The 20,880-nt window shown below is 36.6% G+C and overlaps 1 long non-coding RNA gene across 1 annotated transcript in view; it reads right to left on the bottom strand.

Annotated features, from left to right (window-relative positions):
* The window catches only part of LOC105377008 (uncharacterized), a 47,784-nt gene continuing 34,217 nt past the window's right edge, over positions 7,314 to 20,880 (bottom strand). The window contains exon 3 of the long non-coding RNA XR_940674.3: positions 7,314 to 9,459. This is a non-coding gene — a long non-coding RNA (uncharacterized LOC105377008). The remainder of the gene's footprint in view (positions 9,460 to 20,880) is intronic.

Raw genomic sequence — 20,880 nt, forward strand, 5'->3', positions numbered from 1 at the left:
GCGCAAACTCAGACCCCACCTGGACCTGACTAATCAGAATCTGCATTTTAAATAAGATCTTCCAAAGGATTCTTGTTCACGTAAAGTTTGAGAAGCTCTGAAACACGGAGTCCTCTCACCCAGCTCACATCAGAGGAAGTATTACCAGATCTTACCTTTGCTTCAGGGATTTTCTTTCCTAAAAGACCAGGATTTAAGACAAAATGAGGAACTCATTACCTATGACCTTTCCCCCAAAACAGGGGTTTTTACTCCTACATTGCAGGCATGAGTCTGAGAACCCTTCACTCATTGTCCCCATCCTTTTCTCCTCTCTATCTTCTCAGACTCAGTTTTCATCTCCAGACACAGCCTTCATCACACCTATTTATTAATGCCAAGGATTCATACTCTGATTCAAGTAAAGACAGGAGGCAGGATCAATGTCTTAGTAAAATTCAGAAAAATGAAACTCCTCTTTTAAAATATGTTAGCACCTGGTTTCTCCCTAAATTACCCTAACACACAAATGTGTTGAGTATTAAAATAAAATCTTTATCCACTACAGGCTGGAAAGTGGAAAGTAACATTGAAGGGATGCCTAATGATTTGGAAAAAGAAAAAGATCCAGCTGCATTAGTGAAGAAATTATGAGGTGTCTATGACCAGAGAAACATGAAATGTGCTAATTGAATGCCCTCAGATGCCATTATCAGTGAGGCCCCTCCAGAGCCAGCAGCACAGGCTCATCTGAGCAGAAACCTGAGCTAACAGCAAAGAGAACTGTCTTGATGGCCTAAGTAGGGTTCTAGGGTGCATGAGTCAGCAGGCGAGCGTCCTTGTGCATGGGAGTTCATTAGGAATCTTCCATAATCAAGAGTGAAAATCACCTCTGGTTGAGTGTGCCATTATGTATTTGAAACCCAGAGAGAGGACAAGTTTTATTTTTAGAGAGAACAATAACAGCCATATTAGGAATACGTGCATGCACACATTGCAGTCATGTACACACGCACACACCCACACACACTCCAAATCACAACTCTTGTTACTCCAAATGTATTCCATGAACCAGTAGCATCAGCATCATCTGACCCCACCCTGTACCTACAGTTTACGCATCTGCATTTTAACAAGATGCTCAGGTCATTTGACGCACTTTAAAGTTCGAAAAGAATTACTATAGACCAGTGGTTCACAGCTTTGGCTGTGCACTAGAATCACTCAGGAATTTCAATATGCAGCAAATTTTGACAGCCAATGGTCTAAAATCAAAGATAAAATTATGCCCTCTCTTTTCCCTTCAAATTGAGCCCTTTCACCACTTTTAAAACAGGTCTTTGATGTGCAAGAGAAATGCTTTAACACTGCTATTGAAAGATAACTCTTAGACAAGATCAGGTGCATTCAGGGTGGTATGGCCATAGACAGCTAATGGCTCCTCTAAAGACTAACTTTATTCTCTTCTAGTAATTATGTCTTTAGCTATAAGCTTACTGAGAATACAAACCGTGACTTACTTTGTATAATATCAGATTTCAGGCAAACCAAAGGGCTTGGGCCAGCATCAATGCTTAACCAATGTTTGTAATTAATGATAAATTACTGATAATAAGTGAAAGCTCAGAATTCTGCCTTCTCTGTGCTATTCATTTTTTTGTACATTTCAATTATGGAAGACATTGTTAGGATTATATCTCTTCATAAATATTAGAAGCTCTTTGAAATGCAGGAACACATTACTTCTTCTCCCCCCCATCCAAATATATAATATATTAATAAATACAGAGCATATATTCAGTGACTCTAAATCTCATTTAATATCCTTAAGTTTTGATGAAACTAGAAGGCAGGATTTTTACATAAGAACATTTGAATTTTTGTAATTATGAAGCATGCATTACTGGGAGTTTGCTGCATTTTACATAAGAACTTTTTAATTAATGAGAATTCCTCAGGAATGAAAAAACAGCTGTCAATAATAATTTTCTTAAAACTAATGTCTTCTAAGATATGTCATAGATTTAGAATATATTCAACAGAGTACACTGCACTTTACTTTCTATAAATCTGTGCAGTGAGTTTCTGTGTTTGGAATGATTACACTAGACAAGGGGTTGGCAAATGTTTTCTGTAAAGGACCAGGTAGTAATTTTTTTTTCTTTGTTTCACCAGCCATGCAGCCTCTGTCACACCTATCTACTCTGATATTGAAAACAGCCGTAGACAATAAGTAAGCAAATTCTTGTACTTGTGTCCTAAAAAACATTATGAGAACAGGTGGATTTGGCCCACAGGATATAGTTTTTCAACCCCTACAGCTGGATTATGTTAAGAGGTAAATGTGGAGTAAATTATACTTACAAAGGCAAAATAAATTAGTTTTGGTAGAAACTAGAGTATAAACAACTGCCAAACAATGCAAACACACATACTTAGATACTATTTTCACAGAGAAAAGGAAACTATAAATCCTTACCAAATCTTTCAGAGCTAATGTGGGGGTGGAGAGTGAGAAAATGCTCTGTTAACTTGTAACCTTAAGAAATATATAATTAACCAGGACATGATATTACTCAAATAGTCATATTATTCACAATTTTCTGTAAAGATCGTAGCAACAAAAGACTGTAGGATGACTTCTTCTCCACTATGGAGAGAATCAAGTGATGACTTCAGTAAGTGAACTGGAAACATAACCCACCTTAGTTTTCCAGCGGAAGTAGGGCAACGAGAAAGTCAGCCAGGAGCTGATGGAAACACCTATAGTCAAAATAATGTCTGTTATACTGTAAAAGCTCTTAGTCTTTTGATTTGTGCATTGATCAAAGACCATTTCAGGGTTGAAACTGTTGAATCCTAAGTGGATAGGTAAAGAGCTTCAGGTTCCCTGGTAATTTGGAGATTCCTTCCCTCAGAGGACATAGTAATTAGCCAGGAGGATACTCAGCCAAACCTAGTATGCTATTGTGGGTCTCTTAACAATGTCTAACTCAATGGCCTTCACCACTCATGACACCAAATGCACACACAAGAAAATGGATTTCTCTAGCAAATAAGATGTTAAAATATTAGCTTGGTCTTAACAGATGGTCCTCCAAGTTTAATCTGGTTTGATAATTTCAGAAGACATAAATTTTTGTTTGATCAGAATTGATTATCAGAGCACACTCCTGGTTAAATATTCTGGATTTGAAAAAGAAATTTAGTTTCACTCAGGGGTTCAGCAAGCTGGTGTCTGGTTTGTTGTTGTGATGGTGGTAGTGGTTTTCTTGTGGGGTTCGGTTTAAGACCCACCTATTAAGCTCTTTACCATCTCCTTCTTTCTTCCTCATTCTAGAAGTATTTCTCCTCCAGAGCAGAAGGTGTTTAAACAACACGTGCTAATGAGCTAGAAAGAAGCATCTATTAATTTGGTAACGGACAAGCAGTAGTTACATATTTCGGCCTGAGAATTGGATGTTGCTTTAGAGGCGATGAAGAATCTCTAAGGAAGTTTCTTAGATTTAAACCTCCCTTACAATTTCTGGCTTCATGTTAAATATGTAACAGTTTCCCTCTCATACCATTTTGTGGAAATTGGTAATGTAGATGGCCATTTACAAAATGGGAACTGGGGTGAATACACACATGACTTTGCCTGGGACATCTCACATTTCTATGCCAATTATTTTATTAAATTCTCACAATATCCCTTGGAGAGTTTACCTTTGGTTTTCACTTTATAGATGAGGAAACTTAGTATAAGAGAACTGGAGTTACATGGATTGTAAATAGCAAAACCTAGATCTTAACCTATGAGAATGATTCTAAAAGAATGTTCAACCACAATGCTCCATTTCTCAATTAAAAGCTACAGTATACTGCAAAGTGCCAGGGAATTGTTCATCTCTTCTGTTTGGGAGAAATTGTATTTGGAGAGTAGGTAAGAGACAAAGTTAGAAAGAAAGGTGGAAGCTGCATAAATATAATTTTATAAGCAATATTAAAATTTCTACATCTTTATTCTCCTTAGTTGGCTTAGTCTGGGATATGACATGAAGTTAAAACGTGCATTTCTAGAGGGGGTTGTGCACATATGTATACATCCAGGTCTGTAGGTGAAGAAGAAACTGTGAAGAAACTAGCAAGAGACAAGGTGGTATTTGCCATTAAGTTTACAATGAGGACCGTAATGTGTTCCAGTTAATACCTGTTGTAGATCAAATACTATGTCTTCATTATTTTAGTGCCTTTTCCCCCTTTCACTCTCAAACATTTCCCAGTTTGGGCAATAAATTGTATTGCAGTCGTATCTATAATAAAATATTCAAATAATTTCATTTTTGTTTAAGTGCTTTTGAGGCTTTATTGAAATCTTAATGTATCCTTAAATATTTCTTGGAATATTTTATTTCTAGGAAAACAGACTTGATCATTCCTTCAGATATTTGTTGAAAGCACTGAAACAGCCACTGAAGGGTGGGAATGAATCCACAAATGAAGGTGACAGCCTATGAGCAAAAGCGATAATGACGAGATGATTATAACAGAGGTAGGTAGAGCCATTTCCGGAAAGAAGAGGTTTGATCAAGGATAGGAGCTTTGTCCTGGACATAAAATATGTGAACAAGAGTTTATGTGGTGGTCGTTGTAGCCGAAGAATATTGTAGAAAAACAAGTGAGCAAAAACATACAAGCCCTCAGCAAACTGAAGGCTATCATGGGCCAGAGTAAGGGGCCAGCTCTTTCTGCCTCCAACGCCGAGCGGCAAGAGGATAGAGAGAGGGGAAAAAAGCAGCAGGAACTTCTTTCAGTTTCTCTGGTCATACATAAGGACTCTCCTTTCTTGGAGTTTTGGATACCTGACCAGCCACCACTGCAATTGTCACCACCACTGCCATAGAATTTCCTGGGAGATAGAACAGTAGAAAACATAAATTCTCTTTGATCCCATGAGGCCCCCTTTCTCCTTCTTTAGACTAAAATTAAGTGGGTTTTCTTGGAGTTCATTTTGTCTGTACCTGATGTATAGTTCCTGTTTTCCAGCTGTCTCGGTCCTGCAGCAGGAGATGCCAGAGGGGAAAAGTGGTTCAGTAGTACTTCAGGTTCTGGTTTCTTTCGTTAATCTACCTGCTGCTACTTACTTTACAGGCTCCTCAGAGAAATGCTACATACATTCCATCCAGGGTTTTAACTTCCTTCATAGAGAGAGACAGAGTGGAATATGTTTACTCCACCTTGACTAGACATCCCAGAAAGGACGGGATATCCCAGAAAGGATGTCTTCATTACTGTAAGAAGATTGGCTTCATGACTAAAAGTATCCAGAAACTTTTTATCTGAAACTTGAGAAAGTCATTGGACCCATCTTAGATTTCACCCGAGAGCTGGGGGAGAAAAGAATAAAGTTGTTTTATGAAGTGTCTTTCAACTTAATGCTTCCATATGGTTAAATTTTTAAAAGGAATATTTACAAGTATTTCACCTTAGTAATCAATTCTACAGAGCCAGCAGGAAAAAAAAAAAGTCAGTCTGAAAATACTTGAAATGCTTAATTATTTTTCAGAGTAGACAGTAAGGAAGAAAAGGCCCCAGATCCTAACTTTGGCTCTCCGCTTCACTGAATTACCAAAATAAGGGAAGTCTTCAGCCATGGCTTCAGATCAGGACAAGAAGGGAACTTCATCATGCCCGTGTTATTGTTGGGGGATTGATCCAAAAAGAAAAGACCTAAGTTTCAGCTGGTCCCAAACCATGGAGAATTTTACCCACACAAAGCCCCCATTTGCCAATGCAAATCTGGTAATTGGACACTTAATTACCCTATTTGCACACATAAATGAGGGGTGTTCCTGCAAGAAATCAGAGTCCACTCTTACAACTTTGGCCGCAAGCAATGAAACCACATGCTTTTGTCAACAGTTAAGTTGATTAGAATTGTGTTTATTTCTGCTCGTGTTAGGCCACATGTATTTTCATTGGAGCCTGATGTCTATTGAGTTAAAAGCTTAGTTTAAAAAACCTATGTTATGCAGAAAACCTAGATAGTAATTGCCAACTATGTGCCAAGAATCCTTTCATCATGTAGAGAATACAAGGTCTGAATAAAAAGAAATATTCTTTGCAACCTCATATGCTTGGGCAGACTCAGCAGTCTTATCGTCATAATAAAGACAGAAGGGCCTTTTAAAAGAATACTTTCAGCAAAATTTCCAGCATGGATTACTCTTTTGGGTAAATGGCTCAAACATTGAATTTTCCCATTTCCCTAGGGCAGGTAAAGGAGTGAATTTTCTCTGAATATCTTCTAGCTAGACAGTGTCCTAACAATGTCCTTAGGGGGAAAAACGTTCTTTCATTTGGAAGCATGTATTGTGAGTAGGCCCATCTGGGTTTCCTCCCTGTGAATAGAAACACCAAGATTTGGCCGTTTTCTGATCTTTGATTATATGCAGGCCTGAGTTCTAGTCCTGGCTCTAACTCAAACTGTGTACTATTGGGGACAGATTCAGTTCCTTACAAGTGCTGAAAAAAAAATGGTGAAGGGAAAGCTTGCCAGGGAGAATCAAGCAGTAAGTCTGGGAAATGGAGGCAGGCACGGGAGGCCTCTAAGGTAGCAATGGTGGAGGAAGATGAGCAGTAAGGAATGATCATTAGATTTGGTGATTTGAAGGTCAATAGTAACTTTTTTCTGTCTTGGTCACTAGGTGCTTAATAAATATATTTTGAGTGAATGACTTAATTATCAGCACAATTTGTTGAGCACCCCTTGCCCAGGAAGCACCATGCAAGGAGTCCAGAGTACTCAGAAAAAGAAAATGGGCTCCTGCCTACAAGAGAGTTGTGAGAGTACTCGCCAAAGAGTAAAAACTAGCCAAGGTGAAACAACTGAGCAAGACAGTCAAAGATGTAATGTGAAATGAGGGAGCAAGATGAGTTCTTACATAGTGATAGGATGCCTAGTGTGTATTGCATTCCATAGAGGGGCTCCCCTCCCTCCTGAAGTACAGGGGAACAAACTATGGAAAGACGGAAGCTGGCTTGTCTTTACCACTGCTGTGATCACCTAAGGTTCAGTAGATGCCAACCAGTGCAGAAAAGCTGTGCACCCGGGGAGGCCCCACCCCAACACGGTGAAAACCAGAGGACTCTGGAACCAGGCCTGGATTCTGGCGGCCCAGAGGTAGAGTACTTGATTTCATCACTTCTTTGTCTCTCTGCATTATGGGGCATCAGGACTCTCTTACTTGGGCTCCATCTTCTTTCATTATTTCTCATGTGGACATGTGGGATACACACACACACAGACACACACACACACACACTCTATATATAATAAATATAATAAATGCTATATTATTATTGTTTTATTTCCAAGGCAAATATTCAAAAGAAATTCTACTAATGTGTTATGTGTGAAAACGGTTATGTGTGAAAACTGTTAGTTTGAGAACAGAAACAGAAGTACGGGCCCTGTCTGTCACATCCATCACTATAATCAACTTCCTCACCATCCCATCCCTCAATAAGACATGTTTTAAAATCTTCATCATGATTTTTTTCCTTCTTTCCTCCTTCAATTCTCTTTCTTCCTTTCTTTCTCTCTCTTTCTTTCTTTTCTTTTGAGAAGCTGCAAGTGCTATTGTGATGGGCTTGACCGGAAATTACTGAAAAGTGACTCTTTTAGTTGAACATAGAAGTAACAGTGCTTAAAGATGTTTTATCAGTGGCTAAACACTCTGACCAAACTTTAGAGGTCAGGGGGTTAAGAAAAATATTTTTTCACTTTTACAAACCTGTGAACTTCAGCTGTGTCCTGTTGGTTTAGAAGCGGAAGAGAGGAGAAGAAATTACCTTTAGTAAGTGTTGACTAGATTTCAGGCTCATTAACCAAATTATCTCAGTTAACTCTCTCTGCCACCTTCAGGTAGGTATTAATATTTACTTTATAGATGAAGAAGAGTGTTGTTTAGAGAAGATTGGCAACTTGCATAGGATTACCTAGGGAAGGAAAAAAATCAGAAGGCGTGTTCTATGACCTTAAAACACATCCAAAATATTGGTGTTTTTTCAAGCTGTGGGTCAATAAGTCAATTTAATGTATCATGACTAGAGATTTTTAATTAAAAAACAGACTAAAATATATTTGAAAATATCCAAGTACCATTTCCTAAAGCTTTTGCTTTATCTAGTGTATGTGTGTGTGTGTGTGCGTGTGTGTGTGTGTGTGTGTGTGTGTGTGTGTGTACTACGTTATGATGAAAAATGTATTTCTCCCTGAGTTGTAGTCAAGTTTGAAAGCCACTGCAATTGCCCATACTGGTGCTATACAGTAAGAAAAAAAATGTCTAGTTAATTGTCATTAGGGTAATTACATAATTTATAATCCAAACAAGAACACTTCGGAAAATGAAGGAAATTTTATCATTAACTACAGGAGGTTAGCAGACTTAACAGGGATTGTTCTGGGAAAAGTTAAATGAGCATTCACCCCAATAAACATTGCTATGGTCTGAATGTTTGTGTTCCTCCAAAATTCATATGTTGAAGATTAATCCCCAATGTGTTAGTATTAAGAAGTAGGGTCTTTGGGGAGGTGATTAAGTCATGAGAGTGGAGCCCTCACAAATAATATTAGTGCCCTTGTAAAAGAGGGCTGGGGGAGTTTGTTTGCTCCTTCCACCATGTGAAGATATAGCAAGAAGGATGGAGCCCTCGCCAGCCAAACCCCACCACAGCCTTGATCTTGGACTTTCCAGCCCCCAGAACTGTGAGAAATAAATTCCTGTTGTTTATAAATTACCCAGTCTAAGGTATTTTAGTTATAGAAGCCCAAAAGGACGGAGACAATCACCCACATCCCATCCCCATATCTTACATTTTAGCAACAAAATGACTGGTAAAAATAGAGAATACATTTAGGAGAGAATGTGTGACATATTTTGTACTCAGGGAGGTAAAACAACTATTTCAGGTTACAGATACATGTTTTTTCCCCAGCACACTATTAAAGTTCTAAATCATTGTATAATGGTGCAAAGAATATATTCTTTCTCCTATTCAGAGACTGCAATGTTTGTCAGCACAATCTGGCATTATTAATGCTTTGTTAGTAATTAAACTATGAAAATATCGAATAAATACCCATAATGTAAAATGACAACTTTCTTGTAACAGGGGCATATAGGGTATCACAGTTTTGTGCTTGTAACTAATTCTATGCAATACCTATTGCATTTTTATGGATAACAGCAAAAGCATTGTAAGTTTAACTTCACCCGTTTATCTTCACTACATTTTACAACATGTGTGTGATATCAGTATAAAGGCTGACATTCTAAAGTAAATGGCTGGATAGCAATACATGGAGGATCAAAGATCATATGACTTATACTATGTGAAAATATGAATGTTCCATCTGCAGACAGTGCTTAGTGACTTTTGGAGAATGTGTGGTCTTTCATCATTCCCTGCTCCTCTTCTGCTCACCATTGATACCTGCAGGAAAAGAATAAAAAATGTCAAGTTATTGGGAGTACCCAGCTTTTTTGCTACCATATTCCATCCGGGTTTTTTTTCCTGTAATTTGTTCATTTAATAGATGTAATTATGATCTATATGCTAGTTACTGTGCTAAAACACTAGGAATAGAAAAATGAATTAGAATTTTTCTCAGCCCTTGAAGGTTGTATAGTCCAGAGAGAGAGGAGGAGAAAGAGAGAGAGAGAGAACAGATAAAACACCACACAATATGACAAAAGCTATAAGAAATGAGCAGAATTCTGTGGACACTCAGATTGCTAAAGAGACTCTGCTGTGGACTGAATGTGTCTACTCCAAAATTCATATGTTGAAACTTATCCCCAATTTGATGATACTTGAAGGTGGGGCCTTTGGGAAGTAATTAGGTCATGAGAGTGGAACCCTCATGAATGGGATTAGTGCCCTTACGAAAATAAGAGACATGAGCTCTTTCTTTCTGCTCTGTGCCATGTGAGGCTACAACAAGAAGGTGGCCATCTACAAACCAGGAAGTGGGTCCTCATCAGACACCAAATCTGCCGGAACTTTTATCTTGGGACTTTCTCACCTCCAAAACTGTGAGAAATAAATGTTTGTCATTTAAGCCATCCAGTCTATGGTAATTTATTATTGCAGCCCACACTAAGACAGACCACCTCTGCCTAGGGAAGTCAAGAAGGCACAGAAAGAAAGAGAGAGAGAGAAAGGGGAGGTGGGGTGGGGGTTGGGCAAAGAGAATGTATTGTTTCTAGCAGAGGAAAAAACATGTGCATGGCCTGGAGTCCTGAAATGATAAGGTATGTTCTGAGACTGGTATAGCTTCTTACAGAGGAGTACTGGAAGTGAGGTTTAGAATACAAAGTGGTGCTAGATTGTGAAAAGTTATGTTACAAAGCCCATGTGTATTGCACAGATAGAAGTCAGATAATAGATAATGTCAAGTGTGGGAGGAAAATAATCGAGATTAATTTTTATCTTTAATAGAAAGAGAACTTCATAGGAGGATGGTTGATGGGCTGTAATTGTAAGAGTCTGTGATATTATGTCCAGCAGGAGATGAGAGCTACAGCAGGTTAAAAATAGCTAGGTAGAGAAGAAGGTCCATTCCTCTCTCCTTGAATCACTGACTGCTTTGACAAATGGATTACAACCAAAGTGTCACTGTACCTAATTCAGACCTAGCCATTAAGAGGACTGGAATCTTCTGCCTTTGACTATTGAAATTCTCAATCGCCACATAAGAAATCCAACTACATTGCATGGAGAAGCCACAAGTCCACAGTCCACAAGTATTGATAAATTACAATTAATTAAATGTCATAGCTTGCTCAGATTTTCTTAGTTTTTACCTAATGTCCTTTTTCTGTCCCAAGTTCCCATCCAGGATACCAGATGACATTTAGTTGTCATGCACCTTAGGCTCCTCTTAGCTATGACAGTTCCTCAGGCTTTCCCTGTTTTTGATGACCTGACAGTGTTGAAGAGCACTGGTCAGGTACATTGTAGGAATGCCTCTATATTAGAATTTGGTATTTTCTCATGATTAGACTGGGATATGAATTTTTGGGAGAAAGATCACAGAGGTAAAGTCTTTGATCCACTTTGAGTTAACTTTTGTATGTGGTGTGAGGTAGGGACTCAATTTCATTCTTTTCCCATGGATATACAGTTGCCCCAGCACCATTTGTGACAAAAACTTTGTTTTACCTTTTTAAATATTTTTTTTTGAGAGGAGGAGGAGTATTCTGGATGATTTACATTTTTATGTGAATTTTGGGGTCACCTCGTCAATTTTGGCAAAATTAGTTAGGATTTTTATGGAAATGGTGTTGAATCTGTAGGTCACTTTGGGGAGTATTGCAATAGTAATAATATTAAGTCTTTCAATCCTTGAACACAAGATGTCTTTCCATTTATTTAGGCCTTCTTAAGTTTCTTTCAAAATGTTTTCTTAATTTTATTTTCTGATTGTTCATGCCACGTATATAGAAGTACAATTAATTTTGTATGTTGATCTTGTGTCTTTCAATTTTGCTGAACTTTATTCATTATAATAGTTTTAGTGAAATCCTTAGGATTTTTCATATTCAAGATTATGTCATCTGCAATTATAGTTTCACTAATTTCTTTCTAGATGCCTTTTATTTCATTTTCCTTCCTAATTTCCCTGACTAGAAATGTAACTGCCCAATGGTCAGAGGCGTTTGAACCAGAGCAACTCCATCTTGAATATGGTCTGAGTGAAATGAGGCTGAGATCTACTGGGCTGAATCCCTAGACAGGCATTCTAAGTCACAGGATGAGATAGGAGGTTGGCACAAGATATGGGTCATAAAGACCTTGCTGATAAAACAGGTTGCAGTAAAGAAGCCAGCTAAGACCCATCAAAACCAAGATGGTGATGAGAGTGACCTCTGGTCATCCTCACTGCTACACTCCCACCAGCACCATGACAGTTTACAAATGCCATGGCAATGTCAGGAAGTTACCCTATATGGTCTAAAAAGGAAAGACATGAATAATCCACCCCCTTTAAAGCACATAATCAAGAAATAACCATAAAAATGGGCCACCAGCAACCCTTGGTGCTGCTCTGTCTATGGAGTAGACATTCTTTTATTCCTTTATTTTCTTAATAAACTTGCTTTCACTTTACAAACTCAACCTGAATTCTTTCTTGTGCGAGATCCAAGAACCCTCTCTTGGGGTCTGGATCTGGTCCCCTTTCCAATAACACAATGAGTTCATTTTTGCCTACTGCCCAGATGGAGCCTACTTACCAAGGCAGGGGAATTGCAATAGAGAAAGAGTTTAATTCAAACAGTGCTGGCTGAACAGGAGACTAGAGTTTTATTATTATTCAGATCAACCTTTCTGAAAATTGAAAATCAACCTTTCTGAAATGGCTAGTTTGGTGGGCAAGTGAATAGGTGCTGCTGATTGGCTGGGGGTGCAATCATAAGGATATGGAAAATAGTTCTCATGTGCTGAGTCCACTTCTGGGTGGGACCACAGGGCTGGCTCAAGTGGAGCTACTGGTGGTCATAAATGCAAAAACTGGAAATGACATCTCAAAAGGCTAATCTTAGGTTCTGCAATAGCGATGTTATCTGCAGGGATAATTGGGGAAGTTGCAAATCTTGTGACCTCTGGAATAAAGGCTGCTAATTTTTTATATCTACACCTTAGCAGAATTCCGGCTACTGTCATACTTCTAACCTGATGGTCTTTTATTAGCTTTACAAAGGTGGTTTAGTTTGGGGGAAGGGCCATTATTATTTAAACTATAAACTAAATTTCTCCCAAAGTTAGCTTGGCCCAAGCCCAGAAAAGCCTGAAAACAGTTTGGAGGTTAAAGGCCGGAGACTTGGTTAGATCAGATCTCTTTCATGACATAATTTTCTCACTATTACAAATTTTGCAAAGGTGGTTTCAGAAACTCCAGTAAAATTTTAATAGAAGGGATGACAGCACATACTGTTGTCTTGCTCCTGATTTTAGCAGAAAGCCATTCAGTTTCTTGCTGTCAAGTATGATATTATTGTGAATTTTTGTAGATCTAAATTATTAGATTCAGAAAGTTTCTTTCTACTCTTAGTTTGTTGTATTTTTATCATGAAGTGGTACAAGTTTTGTCAAATACTTTTGCTGTAATCTGATGATTATGTGGTTTTAGTACTTTATTGTATTAATATGTTTATTACATTATTGATTATCAGATGCTAATTCAAACTTACATTGTTGGGATAAATCTCACTTAGTCATGGTATGTAATGTTTTTATATGTTGCAGGATTAGGTTTGCTAGTATTGTGTTGAGGATTTTTGCCATGTATGTTTATAAGAGATGTTGGTCTGTAATTTTATTTTCTTGTGATGTCTTAACATGTTGTTTTTTTTTTAATACTTTAAGTTCTGGGGTACATGTGCACAATGTGCAGGTTTGTTACACACGTATACATGTGCCATGTTGGTTTGCTGCACCCATTAACTCATCATTTACATTAGGTATTTCTCCTAATGCTATCCTTCCCCCACCCCCCTCACCCCATGACAGGCCCTGGTGTGTGAAGTTCCCTGCCCTGTGTCCAAGTGTTCTCATTGTTCAATTCCCACCTATGAGTGAGAACATGTGGTGTTTGGTTTTCTGTCCTTGCAATAGTTTGCTCAGAATGATGGTTTCCAGTTTCATCCATGTCACTACAAAGGACATGAACTCATCCTTTTTTATGGCTGCATAGTATTCCATGGTGTATATGTGCCACATTTTCTTAACCTGTTTTGTTTTGTTTTAAATCAGAGTAATATTAACCTCACAGAATGGATTGTGAAGTATACTTTATTTTCTTTTCTTTTTTCTTCTTCTTTTTTTTTTTTTTTTGAGACAGGGTCTCACTCTGTCACCCAGGCTGAAGAGCAGTAGCACCATTATGGCTCACTACAGCCTCAACCTCCTGGGCTCAGGTGATTCTCCCACTTCAGCCTCCCAAGTAGCTGGAACTAAAGGCACATGCCACCATGCCCAGCTAATTTTTTGTATTTTTTGTAGAGATGGAGTTTCACCATGTTGCCCAAGCTGGTCTTGAACTCCTAGGCTCAAGTGGTTCACTCACCTCAGCTTTGCAAAGTGCTGGGATTACAGGCATGAGCTACCATGCCTGATTTCTTTTCTATTTTTTGAAAGATTATTATTAATTTTTCTGTAAACATTTGGTAGAATTCACTAGTAAACTGATATGAGCCATGGCTTTTCTTTGCAGAAAGTGTTTTGTTGACTAATCATATCTCTATTTTTTTATAAATATACTCAGATCTTCTGTTTATTCTTGAAAAAGTTTATGTAGTTTGTCTTTCTAGGAACTTATTCATTTCATCTAGATTATCTAATTTGTTGGTATACATTTCCTCATACTGTTCTTTTTAATCCATTTTTTTATTTCTGTAAAATTAATAGCAATATTCCCTTCTTTATTCCTGATTTTAGCAACTTGAGTATTCTATTTTTTCCCTTTTGTCAGTCTAGCCAATAGTTTGTCAATTTCATTGGTCTCCTGAAATAACCAAGTTTGGTTTTGTTGATTTTTCTCCTTTTTTTATTTCCCATCTTATTAATTTTATTCTAATCTTTATTATTCCTGATTTTTCTCTGTTGCTTTTCTATTTCCCATTTTATTAATTTCATTCTAATTTTTATTATTGCTTTTCTTCTGCTAGATTTGGATTTAATTTGTTCTCTTTTTTTCAGCTTTTTGAGGTGGAACTTTGTTATTGATTTGAGACTTTTTTTCTTTCCTAATCTAAACATTTAGTGCTATAAAATTTTCTCTTGGCATTGTTTTAGCTGCATCCCATAAGTTTTATGTGTTTTGTATTTATTTTCTAAACCTCAAAGAATTTTCTAACTTCTTAAGATTTCTTTTTAGACCTATTGGTTATTTAGGAGAGTGTTGCTTAATTTTCACATATTTGTGATTTTCCCTATTGTCTTTCCATTATTAATATCTACTTTCATGCCACTGTTATCGAAGAACATCTTTTGTATGATTCCAATTCTTTTAAAAGTATTGAGATTTGCATTATGGCCTAGCATAGAGTCTATCCTGGAGAATTTTCCATGTGCACTTGAGAAGAATGTGTGTTCTAATCCTGTTAAGTAGAGTGTTCGATAGACATAGATTGTAGTTTATTCGTAGTGTTTTTCAGATCTTCTATTTCCTTATTGATCTTCTGCTTAGTTGTTTTATCCATTATTGAAAGTGGAGTGTTGAAGTCTTCGACTATTATTGTTGAATTGTGCATTTCTACTTTAAATTCTGTCAGAGATTGCTTTGTTTATTTTGAGGTTTTGCTGTTAGGTCTATGAATGTTTATTATTATTATTATTATATCTTCCTGATGGATTAACTCTTTAATTATTATCTCATGTTCTTCTCTATCTGTAGTAGCATTTTAAACCTCTTTTAAAAATATTATTATAACTACACAAGCTTTCATGTGGCTGCTGTGTACATGATCAATCTTTTTCCACCCTTTTACTTTCAACTATTTGTGTCTTTGTATCTAAATTTTGTCTCCTATTGATGACATTATAATTGGATCATGTTTTTATACCCAGTCTATTTCTGCCTTTTGATTGGGTTGTTTAATCTATTCACATTTAATGTTTTTGTTGATATAGTTAGATTTATGCCAGCCATTTTGCTTTTTGGTTTCTATATGTCTTCTGGCTTTTTCCTCCTTTCCTCTTTTACTATTGTGTTTTGCACTGAATGCATATTTTCTACTGTAACATTTTAATTCCTATAATTTTTTTGGAGTTGTAATTTATTTATTTATTTTATTTTTATTATACTTTAAGTTCTAGGGTACATGTGCACAACGTGCAGATTTGTTACATACGTACACATGTGCCATGTTGGTGTGCTGCACCCATTAACTCGTCATTTATATTAGGTAGATCTAATGTTTTCCCTCCCCCCTCCCCCAACCCCATGACAGGCCCTGGTGTGTGATGTTCCCCTTCCTGTGTCCAGGTGTTCCAACTACAGCTTTTAACTTATTTTCTTAGGGGTTGTTCTTGAGCTTAACATATACATCTTACCATAACCTACTTAAGATATATATTGTCTCGATTCCAGAGAGATAAAGAAATGTTACTCCCATAGAGCTCCATTCCCTTTCCCCTTTTTTTGTGCTATTGTTACATATATATTACATCCATATATATTACAAACCAAACAATACATTATTATAATTATTACTTTATATAACTTTATGTCTATTAAAGAAGCTGAGGAAAGAAAGGAGAACAAATATATGTTTACAGTTTGTTATACTAACCTTCTTTTGAAATGTTTCTTGTTATTTTAATTTGTTCCTGTGGATTCAAGTTACCATCTGGTGTCATTTTCTTACTTCCATACACCTTTACTATCATTCGCCTACTTTGTAATGTTAATTGTCAAGTATATTATATCTTTATGTTTTAGGCTCAACAGTTTAATTATATAGTTTTATTAAACTACTTTTTAAATCACTGAAGACATTGAAAGAAAGAAAATATACATTTATACTGTCTTTTAATAGTGCCTTTATTGGTACTTTTTAAAAATGGATTCAAATGACCATCTGGAATTATAGCTTTCAGCCTGAAAACTTCTTATAGTATTTTCTGTAAAGTATATCAGCTACCAATAAATTCTATCAGTTTTTGCCTATCTGATAATGTTTTTATTTCACTTTTGGTTTTGAAGGATAGTTTTACTGAATGTAAGTCTCTTGGTTGACACACTGTTGAGATTTTTTTTTTCCTTCCAGCACTTTTGATACAATTGACCTCTGAACAACACATGCTTGACTGTATTTGTCCACTTACACATGGATTTTCTTCTACCTCTACCAACCCTGAGATAGCAAGACCTCTTCCTACTTCCCCCTAGCCTATGTAATGTGATGACAATAAGAATGAAGACTTTTATGATGACCTAATTCCACTTAATGAATAGTAAATATATTTTCTTTTTCTTATGATTTTCTTTTTTTGTTTGTTTCTTTAAGACAGAGTCTCGCTCTGTTGCCCAGGCTGGAGTGCAGTGGTGTAATCTTGGCTCACTGCAACCTCTGCCTTCTGGGTTCAAGTGATTCTCCTGCCTCAGCCTCCTGAGTAGCTGGGATTACAGGCGTTCACCACTAGGCATGGCTAATTTTTATATTTGTAGTACAGACAGCATTTCACTATGTTGGCCAGGCTGGTCTCAAACTCCTGACCTCAAATGATCTGCCCACCTTGGTCTCCCAAAGTGCTGGGAATACAGGCGTGAGGCACCACACCTAGCTCTTTGTTATGATTTTCTTAATAACATGTTTTCTCTACCTTACTTTATTGTGGAAAGAGAGTATAAAATACATATAACATACAAAATATGTGTTAACCGACTTTATTTTAATAGTATGGCTTTTGGTCAAGAGTAGGCTATTAGTAGTTAAGTTTTAGGAAAGTCAAAAGTTATATGAGGATTTTTCTCTTAACAGGAGATTGGTGCCCCTAACTTGCGTGTTGTTCAAGGGTCAACTGTATATTGTCCCACTGCCTTCTGACTCTCATTGTTTTTTATGAGCAGTCAGCTGTTTATATTATTGGAATTCTGTCATATGTGTTGTCATTTTTCTCTTTGATACTTTCAGAACTTTGTCTTTCAGCATTTTTCTATGATGTATACTAATGTAAATTTATTTGTGTTTGTCTTACTTGGAGTTTATGGAGCTTCTTGGATGTGCAGATTAATATTTTCAGCCAATTTGGAAGATTCCAGTCATTATTTCTTCAATTTTTTTTTTAAAATTATCTCTTCTTCTTCTGGTACTCCTATTATCATATGTTGATGCTCTTAATGGTATTACATATTTCTGTGAGGCTTTATTCATTTTTCTTCTTTTTTTCTTTCTATTCTTCAGATTTTATAATCTCTATCAATGTATCTTCAAGTAAATAGATTCCTTTTGTCTGTCAGTTCAAACCTGCTGCTGAAACCCTCTAGTGAATTTTTTATTTTGGTTATTATGCTTTTCAACTCCAGAATTACCACTTGGTTCTTTTTTATAATTTTCTTATCTCTTTTTTTGTTGTTCTCTATTTAATGAGATGTTGTCACATCTTCTTTCACCTCTTTAGACATATTTTCTTTTAGTTCTTTGAATATATTTAAAATGGCTCTTTTAAAGTCTTTGTTAAATCTGACATTTGGGCCCTTTTACAGTTAGTTTTTGTTGCCCTCTTTTTTCCTATGTATGGGTCACAATTTTCCGTTTCTTTGCATGTCTTGTGATTTCGTTAATTGTTGTTGAAAACTGGAAATTTGTTAAAGCAGCTCTGGATACTAATTCACTTCTGTCCTCACCAGAGTTTGTTTTTGTTGCAGTTTGGTTGTTTTTTGTTTGTTTGTTAGTTTGTTTTTTGTGACTTCACTAACCTATTTTAGTGAGATCTCTTTCCTCTGAAATGTAGCCTCTGTTCTAATTTCTCAAGGGTGTAGTCTTGAGTATCTGCACAGACAACCTGGGATGACTGATTTTGGTAGCACTCTCTTTGAGTGTTTCTTTTATGATCTTTCTGTTAAGTTGTCTGCCTTTGGTATTACACCCAGCTGTTTTGTCAGTAAGGGTATAGCCAGGCAGATTCTACCATTTAGTGAATTGAACTTAGGCCAGTTAGTTGCCTCTCTAAGCCTTACTTTCAGAGTGATATTAGTCAAATGACTAATAATACACATTCTAATATATTATGCCAGTTAAATTAAATCATGGAAATAAAATCATCACCATAGGATCCTTGGCCCAATGCACGTAGTTAATGCTTAGTCCCTGTTATCCAGACTTCCTCAGTACATATAAAGTTGATGAGTGCATAATAACAAGACTTCAAAATTCTAAACCACAAGTATTACAGAAATAATGATTTTCTTCCCAAATCTGGTTTGGCTATCTGCTTTATTGGCTGATAGCAAATATCAACTAGAATTAAGCTTCTCATTTCTACTCTATATTCATTGGGTATCAGGGAAGTTCCAGGATGTATTTTGTTCAACATTTGCATATAGCAGGTTAACAGTCAGATTCATCTGAAAAAAAAATCTTTACTGTTAGTAATTATTGATATGTTCTTCCCTAAAGCATCAGCAGAATCAGATTTCTCCTTTAGAGGAAAAATAGTAATGCTAGTCATTCACTGAACAATTATTAAGTATCTGGTATGTTTGAGGGAAAAAAAGATGCTAGAGATAAGGGAATAGAAAAGGCAAATATTGCTCTATCCTCATGAAACTTATAATCCAGCAGAGTCCAAGCATCAAGGTATTTCAGAAGCACAAAATTTAACTGCTTATGAAACTAAAATTTTTCTCAAGAATTGAGATCAAATTAATGTTTTTGTAATGATATCTTTATAGTCCTGAACAGGGTTTATAAGATATATGGGAAATGGCCTATAGCATTTGGAAGGTAGAGCCAAACTTTTACTTCAGTTGAAGTCTCAAATTGCCTAAAATTCAAAGATGAATAACATATACTATCATCTACCTCCAGGAAATTTTGAATTCATGTGGGAGATAGGCAAATAACATCAAAACTACATAGCAGTGCCCCTGGCACAAAATGATATGTTCAATAATGGAAACAAATATAATTACTACTTTCTAAGTGTAGAAAGGTGCTTGAGGAATAAAATGTAAGGTGCTTATGCCATATGAAGTATGATCAAACTTGACCTCTGGGCACAAAGGAAACAAGAGTCATCTAGATTTGCATTAATTGTGTACCTTTACTTGTTCAGCACTACAATGGGAACTCTGGGGAAGATAAAACCACCTGTCTTCAAGGTGATTATACTGATGAAAAGGACTCAGGACAGAGAACTCAGAGCCAGACCAGTTGCTCAACAACGAGTTTTAGAACTATGAAGACTTTATCTACTCTGAGCTTCCATTTCCTTGTCTGTAAAGTTAGAGTAAACATATGATCACCCAGAGCTGTTGTAAAGATTAAGTGCAATAATGGATTTAAAAGGCATGTGAAAATGTGTTCTGCAAATGTGGAGGTTATTGTTATAATCCAACAGGAGAAATGCTGAGTTCCTTTTAAGCCAATGAGGCCATCTCTGAAGACCTGAACTCTGTGTGCTCATATAAAGTAACCAAGTTACCACATCAAACATGCCTGCCCTTATTGGAGGTTATTGTTACAATCCAGGAGGAGAAATGCTGAGTTCCTTTTAAACCAATGAGGCCATCTCTGAAGAACTGTACTCTGTGTGCTCACATAAAGTAACGAAGTTACCACATCAAACATGCCTGCCCTTCTTTCTCTAACCAGCTCTATAGTCCTCATTCAATGTAAATCCAACATTGATCATGTGGATGAAATGAATCTAAATGTGGTAGCTTTTCTCCACTTGGAAGCTTGAGCCTGAACATGGCTAATTCTGTACCCACTCCATACTGTCCAATTTCCATCCCCTCTATCCCCACCAATAATTTGGTTTCATTCTCCCATATTAAAGTCACACCCCACCAAATTATATGCTCCCCAAAGAGTCACTCTCTTCTTGCATTCATCTCTTCATCTTCCAGGGTTCATAGCAGAGTGATTTGCATGTAACTCGTGCTCAATATTACTTTTAATAAACTTACAAAAGAAAAGACCATTTTAGCTGCTGGTGTTTAGTAAAGTTATCTCCAGTATTGTTTGATGCTAGCTCTTATGTTTTCTGATGTGTTACAACTAGTATGCAACATTAGCCAGAGGGATAATTCATTAGTTCTAATAATATTTGTTGAGTTTGAACTACATGATAAGTGTTAGGGTTACAATAGTGAGCAAAGCCAAACCTGACTCTGCTTTCATA

The sequence above is a fragment of the Homo sapiens genome, chromosome 3 (assembly GCF_000001405.40).
Source record: "Homo sapiens chromosome 3, GRCh38.p14 Primary Assembly".
Taxonomy (NCBI): domain Eukaryota; kingdom Metazoa; phylum Chordata; class Mammalia; order Primates; family Hominidae; genus Homo; species Homo sapiens.